Raw genomic sequence first — 15,974 nt, 5'->3', positions numbered from 1 at the left:
CGAAAAACATTATTTCAAAAATAATTTGTTTACAGTAAATCTGCCTATGAATAGTTTCCAAAGTACTTTTGGTAATTTTTAACCTTAAAGTTAAGCTAAGTAAAAGATTTGCATTAAATATCTAGACCATTTATAAATAAGATACAATACTAAAACATTAATTACTGAACATAAATAATTCAAGTTTATATACTTTTGGCTCCTATTTTTACAGAGAGACTAAAGATATTTTGGCCCGTTAATAAACATGTTTTTTTCTGCCACACTGAGGAATTGTATTATGAGGAAACACATCCCTCTAGATGTTGGGAGATGGTATATTCATACATTTTCTAACCTACTATAGAATGCTAATATATGACAGTTTATAACTGTCTACTTCCTAGTTTTCTCTGGAAAATAAAAGATTACTAAGTATTAAAATTATAATCAATATATGTAAATAAAACTATTAGAAATAATAGAATAACTAGAAACAACTCTATGCAAAGCATGCAAGAAAAGTAGGGCATGTTTCGCAAGTAAAGTAGGTTGCATTTTTTATAAGGAAAACCATACAGAAGATACAAATAAAAAGAGATACCTAACCTTCCCTGTGTTATATTTGTATGGGTAAAATGTTATGTTTTCAGAAATTATATAAAATTCCTGGAAGTTTGTCAATGTCCTCCTTATCCATGCTATGTGTCACTATAGAGTAATGAGTCATAATTCCAATTATTACTTTAAATGTTGTGCCAGGCACAGTGGCTCATGCCTATAATCCCAGCACTTTAGGAGGCTGAGGCGGGTGGATCACAAGGTCAGGAGATCCAGACCATCCTGGCTAACCCGGTGAATCTCCATCTCTATTAAAAATATAAAAAATTAGCCGGGCGTGATGGCGGGCACCTGTAGTCCCAGCTACTCGGGAGGCTGAGGCAGGAGAATGGCGTGAACCCAGGAGACAGAGCTTGCAGTGAGCCGAGATTGCACCGCTGCACTCCAGCCTGGGCGACAGAGCAAGACGCTGTCTCTAAATAAATAAATAAATAAATGTTGTCTGCCACAGAAAAAATCGAATATCCTTGTCAGTTGTGGTATAATGAACTCTCATCAAATCTTTCATCACAGCCATTTCATACTTTTTGTCATTTAGATATTATTTCCCCCGATGCTTTCCTGAAAGCTCCTGCAATCAACTACAGGTCAGAATGTTCGTCTCCAAGACAGGACTCCCTCTGAGACTCACAGAAAAGACTATGACAGGCACTCTGGTTATAGGCTTCTGATGATATTGCTTAAATAACTTTAAGACCATACACTTGACTCAGTTAAGGTCTCCAGAAGTCCGGTTGGGAAACTGATGGGTTCATGACACTGCTAACTCAAGATCCACAAGACTGGAATTGATTACATGGCACTGAATGAACTGATGAAAATTGATTATAATTGTATAGCTTTTTGGAGCATTGCTGGTTAATATTCTAGTTTCTGGATTTAAGAAATCTCTTTCTCTTACTCTAACTGTAACTTACAACAATTTAGTAGATTATACTTTTGTAAACAGAAATGAAGCGTTTATCTTTTTTTCTTGCCTGATTTTTCCAGAATTTTGAAATCCTTACTGAATACTCTTATTTCCACGATGATATTGTTGTTAGCAAAAGTCCAATAAGAATCTATTCACCTTATAACAGGACATAATTGGAAATTTTGGTTAGATTATCAAGGTTTTTACTGGAATATCATATTTAGGAAGTGTACCTAAGATCAGTTATGACCAGCAATTTTAAGGAAGTAAGGTTGACTTTTATGGAGACAATGCTTACAAAGCACTGTGGAAAACTTTGAGGAAAGTTCTTCCTCAAAGATTATAAAGTCACAACTACCCACTATTTTTATATGTGTGTGTGTGTGTGTGTGTGTGTGTGTGTGTGTGTGTGTTCCAAATCACTTGTCCTAGCTTGCTCCAGCATGCCTGGACAGAACTAGACAAGCCCCAGCCCATAGTGCATGCCATTCCTTATTTGGAGATGCTTCCTTAACTATCCCTGGGCAACTTCCTTTTCTTTCTTTCTTCTATTCCCCTTACCTAATTAAGAAAGTTTTAAACTAACAGCCAATCGGGTAAAGTGTAAAATGGGAGGTCCTATTCCAGCCAATGGAAACTGGACACAGCAGTAGGGTAGACACGTCAGGTTATAAGTAACTCTGTCTCCTTTGTTTGGTGTGCTCTTGTAGCTGGACAGCTATTGAGTAGCACCCTTTGTGCAGAAAAATAGAGCTCGCCTTGCTAAGAGATCATTTGTTCCCATGTTAGTTCTTTTTTTTTGGGGGGGGGAACATAAAAAACTTCATTCCCAACAGCACTCTGAGAACAGCACAATGATACTTGGGGAACAAGAAGCCAAGTATTGTCTCTCCTACTAATGTATCTATTGTCAGTTAATTTGAAGGTCTCCAACCCTGGAACAAAGTTAGAAGAGGAAGGTTCTCCTCCCCAAAATGCATAACCAAATTGTGCTACATTCATGTAATGGAATACTATTTAGCCATAGAAAGGAACAAGATATCAACACACACAAAGACATGAGTGAATCTTGCATGCACATTGCTAAGTGGAAGAAGACAGTCTGAGGAGGATACACACAGTGTGACCTCATTTAATGAGACACTGGAGAAGGCAAACTACACAGATGGGAAGCCATTGGCTCCATGGGGTGGGGGTTTGAGCATTCCATATGATACTTTAATAGTGGGATATCTGCCACAATGCATCTGTCGAAATATGCAGAATTTTACAGCCAAATGGTTAAAGCAAACTCTATTCAAATTAAATCAAATTACTCAGGATGTGGAGTATCCCAGGACAGAATACATCATGTGAAAAAGAATTTATGCTACAAATTACTATGGTTTGGATGTGGTTTGTCCCCACAAAAACTCATGTTGAAATTTGACTCCCACTGTGTCAGTGTGGGGCGGTGGGGCCTAGTGGACGGTGTTTGGGTCGTGGGGACGGATCCCTCATGAATAGATTAATGTCCTCCATGGGGGTGAGTGAGTTCTGTTCTCACAGGAATAGATAATTCCTGCAGGAGTAGGTAATTAAAAAGAGTCTGGCTTCCTTGGCTTCCCTCTTGCTTTCACTTCTGCTGTGTGATCGCTGGTGCACCCCTTGCTCCCCTTCCACTTTCCACCATGAGGTGAAAAAGACTGAGGCCCCGCCAGATGCAACTGCCCAATCTCAGACATTCCAGCCACCAGTATTGTGAACCAAATGAAACTTTTTTACTTATAAATTACGCAGCCTCAGGTATTCTGTTACAGAAGCACAAAATGGACTAAGACACAAATCTAGGTAAAAACTTTGAAAATGAATAGAATCTGTAGGCTGAAGGCACATGAACTATACTTCATTATTGGATTCCATTTTATAAAGTTCTTTCCAACAGAAGCAATTGTGAACAATTGTAAAACCACAGTGTCTGTATCTGGAATAAAACAATGACTTACATAAGTCGCAGATGGTGGGAACCAGGTTTCTTACTGTTGAAGTGGGAGGTTACAAATTAGCAAGGCGAGAAGGCTAGAATGATTCATGTGATAGTAGATCAGAGGTGGAGACATCAACGTAAACTTATGTTTAGTTTAATATAGACACACACAGTTCTACATAGAAAACTTTATAATTAGGTGTGTATAGGTAGGTTAGACACACACATATACTTCCTAGCATTGCCAATGAGGGAGAAGATACAATGTGCTCATTCAGCAGCCAGATGTAAGTTTTCCTACCATTCTGAAAGGAATCAGGCTCTTTGAAGAAATGTCTGATACTAGAACTGGGACAGTAAATATAGGAGCCAGGATAATCTGGAAGTATCAGAAAGTAAGTACTAAAAAAGTTAAAACATATCAAAGAAAAATAAGAGCCAATAAAAACAGCTACTGATGGCCAACACAGGAATGAATTGTGCAACATAATACTGTAGTGTTGAATAATAACTAAACCTTAAAGTAATTATCTAGGTGTCTGTATTTGTATACCTAGGTGAATAAGCAAATGGAGTTGCATAGAAATCTCCTTTGCAAAAGAATTCCAAATAATTGATGTAGACACTCAGCCGTCAAGAAGGTGGAGCCAACTCCTTACGGAGTGAGGCTCTGCATAGTGACTTGCTCCAAAAGAACACATGCAGTACGGACAAGGAGGAAAAATAACTTCACAGTGGAGAAATCTGACAAACAGTAGCTCTGCCAAATGATCCAAGTGAACATCAAAGGTGACAGTTCACCTTGAGAACACGAAGTGACAATGGGGGACATTCTACAACATTCCTGACCAATCCTCCTCAGTGCTATGAAGGTCATCATGAGATGGAAAGCCTGACACACTGTCACAGCCAGGAAGAGCCCACGTGATGTCTACATGTCATGCGGTATCCTGGATGGGATCCTGGGTCAGAGTAAGATAGAACTAAGGGAATCCAAATGAAATATGAACTTCAGTTAATAATAGTCTATCAGTATTGGTTCATTAACTGTGACAAATTATGTAAGATATTAATAAGCCATGTGAGACACACTGATAGAAGATGTTAATAAGAGAGGAAACTAGGTTGCGGCTACATGGGAAATCTCTGCTTTTTTTTGACAATTTCTGTGTAAGTAAAAAAGATGATGTAAAATAAAACTTTATTTAAAACACTGTTTTTTTTGAACACTTCCTTGTTTAATTATTTATACCATGAATTACTAGTAATTGACACTGTTAACTAGTCCTGTTTTTTTAAATAAGAGTATTTATGACACAAAAAATTAAACAGTGCAGACTGATACATAAATCAAATGTTCTTTACATGTTTTCTGTTGCAGTAGTAACACATATGTGTAAACTTAATTATCACGTTTTTCTTGTGCTGTGGTTGTGTCCTGAGTTCATTCTCTAAAATGCTGTTCACCTTAGACCAGGAAAAATATTAACCATACAGACTCTGTTTTAATTCATAGCTAAATATTTTCAAAAGAGTGACTTTGTAAAAATATGTTCCAATGGCAAATTGATTCATTGTGATGGGATCACTTATTCCAAAGACTTCCTGTCTTTATTTTGTTGCCATGCCTACCTTTTAGCCATGATACAACAGAATCAAATATTGGCCACTGGGAAAAAATATTCAAAGCAAGAAAGAATGTGAACAGAACTTATGACCATGATGATTCAATGTTTTACCACAATGCTTTCTAAAACAGAAGAGTGTAAAAGGATATTCAAAGTCAATTTCCTCAGCGAGGCTTTGCAGAAAATGAGGAAACTACAGAAACAAAAATGGCAGGACATTCTACGGGTGATTTTAAATGTTGCTATGTTTTATGGGAAAAAAATACTTTACCTTTTAAAGAATCACAAAGAATTATTGGAAACCCAAACTCTGGAATGTTTGCAAATTTAGTTGAGCTTCTACGTAATTATGTCTATATAGGTAGCCAGGAAGTTGATGATTTTTTAAAAATCTGTGCCTTATTTGTGTGATAAAATACACAATGAATAATTAATGCTCATAGGAAAACCTTATGAAGGGAAAATAAATCTTGGGGAATGAAAATCACTAAGCTAAAGGGAAAAGTCAAGCTGGGAACTGCTTAGGGCAAACCGGCCTCCCATTGTATCCAAAGTCACCCATCTGCTCACCGAGATAAATGCATACCTGATTGCCTCATTTGGAGAGGGTAATCAGCAACGCGAAAGAATGAAACCATTTGTCTCTTACCTACCTATGACCTGGAAGCCCCCTGTCTGGCCTTCTCACCTTTCTGGACTGAACCAATGTACATCTTACACATATTGATTGATCTCTCGTGTCTCCCTAAAGTGTATAAAACCAAGCTGTGCCCCGACCACCTTGGGCCCATGTTGTCAGGACCTCCTGAGGAGGCATCACGGGCGCACATCCTCAAGATTGGCAAAATAAACTTTCTAAAAAATCTGAGAGCTGTCTCAGATTTTCAGGGCTCACACATGTAATGTAGGATGCCAGTGTTTATAAAACAGACATTATTCTATCTACTATTACAAATATGCTGCCAATTAACCTCAGACTTTCTCAACAAAATAAAAAATGTTGATGAGGTACAAATAATATATTTAAACTTAAATAATGTTGCAAGTTTAAATACGCCTACTTTTCAATTTTTCAATACTATTTTTACTACTTTAACACTGTAAGAAAAGTGAGTAATTAAAACATGAATAAAAGTGTTTACAGGGGGTGCACATATTTCCTCCAGCCTCTGCCCATCCCCAGCTTTCATCCCAACTGTCCTGATGGTGGCTCTAAGCACTTCCCCTTTCTCTATACCAAGATCTCTCCCCAGAAACAAACCCAAATCTTACCATGTTATGGCACGCTATGATGCTGAGCAGCGATGAGCAGCCGAAGCCTCAAGGAAGGGATGCTTTTATAAAACAAGACCTGTAGAATGTAACATGTGAAAGTAAAGCCCATGGCAGAGCTCCCTCCTCAGCACACAGGGAGCAGACAGGAAGCTTTTGCCTCACCTTCCTCAATGGCCTGCAGCCACATCTCCCAGGTCAGTCTTAAGGACAACGAAACTCTGGTCTTCACTCTGGACACTCTGAGCACTACCAGGTGCTCCAAAGCCTAATTTCCCAATTTTTCATCCTAGAATGGACAGAGTCCTTGACCCCATTCTAGGGAGACTTCCAAAAGAAAAAAGACGTGCATTTCTTCAACAACCCACACTGAGAGAGTTTCCTGCACTTTTGACCTGTGGCTAACACTCCTCACCTTTCATTCTGTCATCAGTGTTTTGGGGAAACACCTTTAACTCGCTATGATTTGCAGGTTATTAAGTGGTCCTTATAATTCCCTCCACAGGTGGAAAAGACTAATGATGATGGTGTCTGAGCTCACAGCAGCAAGCAGGCGTGTGTGCTCAGCAGCCACGTGGCTCATCTGCTAGGAGCTTGCTAAATACGATGTTCTACAACATTGCCTAACACAAGGGGAGACGCTCCTGACTCGGAGGGTTTAATTGCTCACCTACTTCTTTTTCTGCCCTCTTGGGCTCCTAAAATGAAAAGAACCCTGGGGTGATAAAGTGAGTCAAAGGGGTGCCAGCCTCATCACAGCAAAATAGATTACTAAAAAGTCCCTGGCCTGAGATGACAGCCTTGGCTGGATACGTTTGAATGTGCTGATAGTGGACACGGTAGAATGAAGGTGGTGGAAATGTTCATATTAAAGAACTTCCACCCGGATTGCAAGAAAAGAGAGACGAATGGAGATGGCAGAACGATTCCCTACAATAAAAGCAGATGTTTTGAGATCAGTTATATTTGTTCTGAAAAAAAACAGACAGAAACCAAAGTTTAGCCTGAGGCTACAATTAATTGGGCAATAAGCCAGAGGCACATATAGCATAGACAGATTTAAACATTTCTCCCTTATATTAATACAAATACTAAGATTACAAATAAATGAATTCCAAATAAAACAAATACTTAAAAAATTTAATGAATAAACACTGGAATCTACAGTAGCATTTGAAGGAGATCTCACAAACAGGTTTGGTTTTTGAAGGTTAGAACTGATGGTCTAGAGAATTCATTTCATTCCAGAGACAGAAAGAGATGAATTTCTTAGGTTCCTTCAGGAATGCGTCTGGCTTTGCCTCATCTTTGTATATTTGAACTATGCATATGGCAGAAGAAAACATGAGGATTTCACAGATTTAAGGTGCGAAAAGTCACTGGGTTCTCTAAGAAGTCTGGGATTCTTCTGCAGGAAAAATAAGTTTGTTGAGAAAAAATGAGTTGGAGGAGGCTGTTATTGAAGTGAAGCAGAATTGTTTTTACCAATCTGCTTATTACCCACTCTGTAGTGTGGAAACAAATTATTCATGCACAAGGTCCTCTTACTGTTCCTGGAATGCAGTGGAAAGAGAACAGATTAGTTTTTCTCCCTCAGAACACAACCACTAGAAACATCCTACCTCAGATGAGATATTGCCTACTTATTTTCAAAAGACAGTGAAAAATGATGGATGTAAATGTTTGCTACAAAATAAATACATGCTAGAAACAGAAGCATTTGGGTCACAGCTATATTAGAGCTACCTGTGTTCCCTTGTCACTGAGATTAAAACAAAAATGTCCAATACAATCATTCACAGCATGGGAGAGGGGAAGTTGAAGGATGGAAAGGCCAGTCATAAAAGGATTTCAGAATTTCAGTCCATAAGGAAGTGGCTTTGTGCATTGTCTGTTGCTGTGTGCAAGATAAGTCTGGAGAAAGAAAATATGCAGTAACAAGGGCTCCTTTGTCCATCTCACCTCTCTAGATACCAAGTTTCAGACATGTTGCATTTTAATTGAAAGGTTGATATAATTTTTTAAAAAAGAAAACTTGTGGTGTTTGAAGTGACAAAGGCTGCTGGGACAAAAAAGCAGGGAAAGGGAATTTTTTTAAAAAAAGCAAACAACAACAAAAACCCACAAAAAACAAACAAAAAACAGAGGAAGAAGTCGAAACACCCTGGGTTGTGACTACTTCCAGGAAGGGGCTACAAGAGGCAGTTGGAAATTCTATTTGCTTTGCAACTGTGAGTTTCCCAGCCTGCTCCCTTTTTACAGTATATTACTTTGGTTTTGGTTCATGAAGTTATCCCTTTCTGTTTTCTGGAACAGCTATGTATTTTCTTTATCTATCATCTATCTATCTACCTGCCTATCATCTATCTATTTACTAGTATTTTTTCTACCTTTCTCTATCAAGACCTTGGGTGAAGCAGGATAGAATTCCAGTGTATGTTCACTCTACCATTTAAAACAAGAGCTCTTGTAGGCATTCTCTAACACATCATAAACCTGAGCTTTCTAAAACAGGGTGTGGTAAACTACCATGCATGGGCCATGTCTGACACAGTCTGCGTTTGTAAGTAAAGTTGTAATGTGACACAGCCACATACATGTGTTATATAATGTCTCTGGCTACTTTCATGGTATAATGGAAGAGCTGAGTCATTGAGAGAGGGACCACATGGCTTGGAAAACTTAAAATATTTAACATTTAGCCCTTTGCAGAAAATATTTGCTGACTCTTGTTTTAAAAGATCTCTGTTTAGAATGCTACCTATTGCCTTCTGCATAGAATCACAACTCTACCACAATCGACACAGCTTCAGCCCTGCTTCTATATCCAGCATCATCTATTATTTCTGCTCCTCCTCCTTATTTTCCTTCTGGCCATGCTGATGGATTGTCAGCTTCCCAGATGTGCGAGAATCTCTCCTCCCTTCCCGACATTCTCATGCTCTCCCTCTGCCTCTCAAGAACTCCCTGTCCCATCTCTCATGACAAATCTCTTCTTCATTCTTTAAGATGCAGCCCCTTTGCTCCTTCCTTAAGGATGTCTGTCTGGCTCTATTTTGGGCGACATACTCCTTCTGCATCTCCCAGAGCCAGCCTTTGTGTGTCAGCTACAGCATTTCTTTGCATCTCTGTGCCATATATCACCAAATCTGCCTAAGCTTGCATGAGTCACTGCATGACAACTTCAGACTCCACTATCATTGTCTCCACTAACCACGAGGCTGAGACATTTGTCCAGTATGCTCGGGGTTGTGGGGTGGTAGCAGTAACCAGCTGGTGAGCATCATCTCTTATATCAGAATCAAATCTGTAGATCTCTGCCATTCATAGGTATTTGGAGTTTAAAATTAGCATAAAGATTTTCCTTAAAATAAGAACATATGGCTTGAGTAGGCTTTTGGAACATAGGATATTTCTGCTGGTTCATTTCAGTGTTCAGTATTCCCACATGAATCTAAACACGACTCTGCTCTTAGTAGCTGTGCGACCCTGGGAAAGTCACTCCATCTTCCTCAGCTAAATTTTGTTGTGTGAGTAATGAGAAGAGAGTTGTGGTTTGTGTTTAGTGAGTAATAACAAACAAAAGGCATTTAGCTTTCTGGAACCTGGTATGCAGTAGATCTTCATGAAATACTAGCTCTGTTGATAAAACTAGACCAAAAGAAGCTTTCAAAGTCAACAACAGTATCATGCAGTGAAGGACGTAGACGAGAAGCTGCTACTACAGCTTGCAGCTCCTGGAGGCCCATTTTGTCCATGACTTAGCAGGAATGCACTACCTTTCCATAAGGAGACACTGCCCACAGAAACCAAGGCCATTCTTTGAAGACAAATATGTTTTAATAGCCTTTACATTATGTAATAGTGTAATATAATTTATTAATAATAATGTAAAATTATTTACATTATTATGTTACAACTTTTGTACAGAGCTTTACACCTAGATATTCTGAAGTTGGTGGTCTGTGAGTGGCATCAAGTGATGACCGACACACTCTGACCTGGGGTAGAACAACACGTGTCCCTGCAGTTTGCTGAATTTCAGGGCATCACCACCTTTTTTCAGCTCCACAGAGAACAGCAGCACCTCGAGGGACAGATGTGCAAAAAGCAAGGTGGAGGCCCTTCTGCTGGAGAGGCGGCTGGGGAGGGTCCTTAGAGGAAGTGACAGCTGAGCTCTTCTCTGAAGGGTGAAGCTGAATTACTTGAAGCTTAGGGTGAAGGGGTGTCCAGAGAAGTGGAGCCTGTGAGCCAAAAGCATAATGACTTGTCCAGAGAAGTGTAACAAGTTCCATATTGTTTCTATGCCAAATCTGTACAGGAGTCACCAAAGGAAAGAGCAGGATCCTGGAGCCAGGGCCTTGGAACTCCCCCGCTGGCAATGGGAATGTTCACTGGGAATTTTGGGGGGCAAAATCTGAAAATGTTTCCTCTTAGCTCCAATTCTCTGTCTGTCTATTTCTGTCCCTCTCTCTTTCCCTTATTATCCTAAGAAAACACAGATGTCTCAGATGTGGGGATTAGCAGCCTGCCTCTTCCTGGATGACTTCAGGGGAGCACTTTGGCCTCTGTGAACTTATTTACAATAATTCACGAATCTCGCCAAAAAAAAAAAAAAAAAGTCATGGTAGCAGAGGTTAGAAAATATCCTAGTATTTCTTCTGATGCTTTGAATTTATGATTAATATGTTGAATCTTCATCTTCTGAAAAGCCACCGGTTGCACAGTGAGGACCATAAAGGGAGTCTGTTTCTGTGGTTTGTGGCTTCAACAGTCAGCGGTTTTGCAGCAATAGCATTACATGTGGGTTTTAGAATGATGATGCTCAACAGTGGACAATTCTCTTCCCCTGCCTGGGCCCCACTGCCCGCCCTTCCATACAGTGCGGGGTCACAGCTGAGCTCTCTGAGACACCTCGCAGGATCTCGGCTTCTGAACTATCAAGTGTCTTCTAGGTGAGGTCTTGGTCTCATAGTCTTTGTGGCTTCCTCCAGGTAACACTTGGTTTTTTGACCTAACCTTGGTATTTGTGTGACACACGTGTGAATGTGCTCCCTGTGGCAGCGCTGAGGAAGGACTCAGTCATCACAGATGCCAAAAGGCAAATGCAATGTGCTTTTTTCCAACATATCCAGTCTTGCATTTTTACCCATCAGCCCATTTGAAAAAGAAAAAAAAAAGCCCTCCGTTAGAATTAAATCCCCTCTGGAGATAATGTGTATTTTTTACATCTTTCACTTTTTTTATAGTCACATTTGCTCCCAGTGCCTGCCAGAATCCACTAGAGGGCAGAGACACCCATTTATATTTGTGTGGCACTTGCTGAGTGGTAAGAAAAACAGACACCCTGCCCTCCCAGAGCCAACCTCCAGTGCCGGGGCCAGTGGCAGCAAGTAAGAAAACCTCAGTTTCTGTATCTGCATCAGCTACATGGTGCTCACACACAGGAGGCATCAACCAGTTTTCTCAGTTAAAGAGACAGAAACAAAATGTGTCTTTGCTACTTTTTGAATTTACCATGTTATCTAATGTTTTAACTTAATTGAATGAATAAACTCCCTATGCATCTGGACACATGCATGGGAAATTCACAAACATTTCAAACCAAAATAGAGTATTCTGACAAAAGAGAACTTCTTTTGATATGTGAATGTCACTTTTTTCTATCTTTTAGTGATTTTAATTTAATGAAATTGAGAAGTCTGTGCCTCTAAAAGACTTAAGAGCAAGGTATTTCTCCATTTTGAAAAAAAATTTGGCAAAATATCTTCTACTGTAGATACAAGTTAATTGGCTGAGGGTAATAAATAGAAGATTAAAAAATGACTTTTATCCCGTTATTCTGTCAAGGGCTACAGTGAATTACACACCCTGGCTTGGGTTTGCACGCCACGTGCTGGAAGCCAGCAGTCATGAAGGCCATGCTCTCCCACACTTAGAAAAAAAGCGCATAAGAAAGAACTCCATCAACTTCACACAGAATGACCTCCAGCAAGACCTGGGAGATGGATTTCTGGATGGACGCTGCTGCTGGAGGAGACAATGCCACTGCAGATGGCTCACACTGCTCCCACGCTATAGGGGCCAGTGACTTGTGGCTCCCACACGCCGTCCCATTGGGGAACTGAGATTCACCCCAGCTGGGTGGACTCTTCTGTGTCCCCTGTCAAGAAGCTCCACGGCTTACCTTGGTTTTTTCCTTTTTAAAACTCTCTGGTGTTTTCCTGTCCAGTGGGGGCTGCATCTCACCTTAGAAGAAAACATTTTCCAACTAGGAGCTGTCTTGGTAGCTGGTCCAGAGAAAGTTCTCCTCTCTCTGGAGTGAGGTCCAGCCAAGTAACTCCAGCCAGAATTCTCACTGAGTGGGGCTGGATCTGCCCTGTTCTCCTCCCATCCTTATGCTGACTGTGGAAATCCATCCGTGCCCTATGCAAAGTCCTGCATCTTGGACTGTAAAATGGCAAAAGCCAAATTTAACACATACGATTATATTGACTGTATGAGGAAAAGAAAGTTCTAAGATAGACAATTGGTAAGCAAGCAATAATGTGTAACTTGCTAGAACACTAGAGTGTTTTTTATTTGTCTGATTATTTTCTGTTTAACAGGCTGGCTAAGAGCCAGTGGGAGAGAAAGCTCGCTGGGAACTGAGAGGCATGAGGTCACCTCAGTCCCAACATTTCCATGTAAACGATGATGCGAGCTGGGCTGGTGGCAAGATCAGAGCAGAACTCAAGGTGATAGAGACATGAAAAACCCTTCAAAAAAAAATCAATGAATCCAGGAGCTGGTTTTTTGAAAAGATCCACAAAATAGACCAATAGCCAGACTAATAAAGAAGAAAAGAGAGAAGAACCAAATAGACGCAATAAGAAAGCATATAGGGGATATCACCACTGATCCCCCAGAAATACAAACTATCATCAGAGAATACTATAAACGCATCTATGCAAATAAACTAGAAAATCTAGAAGAAACAAATAAATTACTGGACACATACACCCTCCCAAGTCTAAACCAGGAGGAAGTCGAATCCCTGAATAAACCAATATCAAGTTCTGAAATTGAGACTGTAATTAATAGCCTACCAACCAAAAAAAGTCCAGGACCAGATGGATTCACAGCCGAATTCTACCAGAGGTACAAACAGGAGCTGGTACCATTCCTTCTGAAACTATTCCAAACAATAGAAAAAGAGGGAATCCTCCCTAACTCATTTTATGAGGCCAGCATCATCCTGATACCAAAACCTGGCAGAGACACAAGAAAGAAAGAAAATTTCAGGCCAGTATTCCTGATGAACATCAACGCAAAAATCCTCAACAAAATACTGGCAAACCGAGTCCAGCAGCACATCAGAAAGTTTATCCACCACGATCAAGTCAGCTTCATCCCTGGGATGCAAGACTGGTTCAACACACGCAAATCAATAAACGTAATCCACCACATAAACAGAACCAAAGACAAAAACCACATGATTATCTCTATAGATGCAGAAAAGGCCTTCAACAAAATTCAACAGCCCTTCATGCTAAAAACTCTCAATAAACTAGGTATTGATGGAATGTATCTCAAAATAATAAGAGCTGTTTATGACAAACTCATAGCCAATATCATACTGAATGGGCAAAAACTGGAAGCATTCCCTTTGAAAACTGGCACAAGACAAGGATGCCCTCTCTTGCCACTCCTATTCAACACAGTATTGGAAGTTCTGGCCAGGGCAATGAGGCAAGAGAAAGAAATAAAGGGTATTCAAATAGGAAGAGAGGAAGTCAAATGGTCTCTGTTTGCAGATGACATGATTGTATATTTAGAAAACCCCATTTTCTCAGCTGGGCACGGTGGCTCACGTCTGTAATCCCAGCACTTTGGGAGGCCGAGGCTGGTGGATCACGAGGTCAGGAGATCCAGACCATCCTGGCTAACACGGTGAAACCCCGTCTCTACCAAAAATACAAAAAACTAGCTGGGCATGGTGGCGGGCGCCTGTGGTCCCAGCTACTCGGGAGACTGAGGCAGGAGAATGGCGTGAACCCGGGAGGCGGACCTTGCAGTGAGCCGAGATCGTGCCACTGCACTCCAGCCTGGGCAACAGAGTGAGACTCTGTCTCAAAAAAAAAAAAAAAGAAAAAAGAAAAGAAAACCCCATTGTCTCAGTCCAAAATCTCCTTAAGCTGATAGGCAACATCAGCAAAGTCTCAGGATATAAAATCAATGTGCAAAAATCACAAGCATTCCTATACACCAATAACACACAAACAGCCGAATCATGAGTGAACTCCCATTCGCAATTGCTACAAACAGAATAAAATACCTGGGAATACAATTTACAAGGGATGTCAAGGACCTCTTCAAGGAGAACTACAAATCACTGCTCAAAGAAATAAGAGAGGACACAAACAAATGGAAAAACATTCCATGCTCATGGATAGGAAGAATCAATATCGTGAAAATGGCCACACTGCCCAAAGTAATTTATAGATTCAATGCGATCCACATCGAGCTAACACTGACTTTCTTCACAGAATTGTAAAAAACTACTTTAAATTTCATGTGGAACTAAAAAAGAGCATACATAGCCAAGACAATCCTGGGGAAAAAGGGCAAAGCTGGAGGCATCATGCTACCTGACTTCAAACTCTACTACAAGGCTACAGTAAGCAAAACAGCATGGTACTGGTACCAAAACAGATATATAGACAATGGAACAGAATAGAGACCTCAGAAACAACATCCACATCTACTAGCATCTGATCTTTGACAAACCTGACAAAAACAAGCAATGGTGAAAAGATTCCCTATTTAATAGTGTTGGGAAAACTGGTTAGCCATATGCAGAAAACTGAAACTGGACCCCTTCCTTACACCTTATACAAAAATCAACTCAAGATGGATCAAAGACTTAAACGTAAGACCTAGAACCATAAAAATCCTAGAAGAAACCCTGGGCAATACCATTCAGGACATAGGCATGGGCAAAGACTTCATGTCTAAAACACCAAAAGCAATGGCAACAAAAGCCAAAACTGACAAATGGGATCTAATTAAACTAAAGAGCTTCTGCACAGCAAAATAAACTATCATCAGACTGAACAGGCAACCTACAGAACGGGAGACAATTTTTGCAATCTACTCATCTGACAAAGGGCTAATATCCAGAATCTACAAAGAACTTAAACAAATTTACAAGAAAAAAAAAAAACCATCAAAAAGTAGGCAAAGAATATGAACAGACACTTCTCAAAAGAAGACATTTATGCAGCCAATAGACATATGAAAAAATGTTCATCATCACTGGTCATTAGATAAATGCAAATCAAAACCACAATGAGATACCATCTCACACCAGTTAGAATGGCGATCATTAACAAGTCAGGAAACAACAGATGCTGGAGAGGATGTGGAGAAATAGGGACGCTTTTACACTGTTAGTGGGACCGTAAATTAGTTCCACCATTGTGGAAGACAGTGTGGCGATTCCTTAAGAATCTAGAACTAGAAATACCATTTGACCCAGCAATCTCATTACTGGGTATATACCCAAAGGATTATAAATCATTCTACTACAAAGACACATGCACACATATGTTTA

General features: G+C 40.0%; 1 protein-coding gene across 2 annotated transcripts in view, besides 1 other annotated feature; it reads right to left on the bottom strand.

The window, feature by feature from the left end:
- Window positions 6,380–15,974, bottom strand: part of PGBD2 (piggyBac transposable element derived 2) — a 57,341-nt gene continuing 47,746 nt past the window's right edge. Inside the window, exon 4 of one of the 2 annotated variants that reach the window (XM_047417845.1) lies at window positions 6,380–6,458. In XM_047417845.1, the coding sequence (XP_047273801.1) occupies window positions 6,445–6,458 (14 nt within the window). In that variant the 3' untranslated portion in view covers window positions 6,380–6,444. Of the gene's footprint in view, window positions 6,459–7,498; window positions 7,933–15,974 lie in introns of those variants that run through there. The other variant, XM_047417849.1, reaches the window with a different exon arrangement.
- Window positions 11,059–11,228: a silencer, noted in NCBI's record as "silent region_2056". NCBI's record gives its function as "represses an Ori minimal core promoter by ATAC-STARR-seq in GM12878 lymphoblastoid cells {active_cell/tissue: GM12878}" and the evidence as "EXISTENCE:reporter gene assay evidence [ECO:0000049][PMID:35858748]".

Source organism: Homo sapiens, chromosome 1, assembly GCF_000001405.40.
Source record: "Homo sapiens chromosome 1, GRCh38.p14 Primary Assembly".
Lineage (NCBI taxonomy): Eukaryota > Metazoa > Chordata > Mammalia > Primates > Hominidae > Homo > Homo sapiens.
The sequence above is the reverse complement of the archived record's forward strand: the minus strand, read 5'-3'. Positions and strand labels throughout refer to the sequence as shown.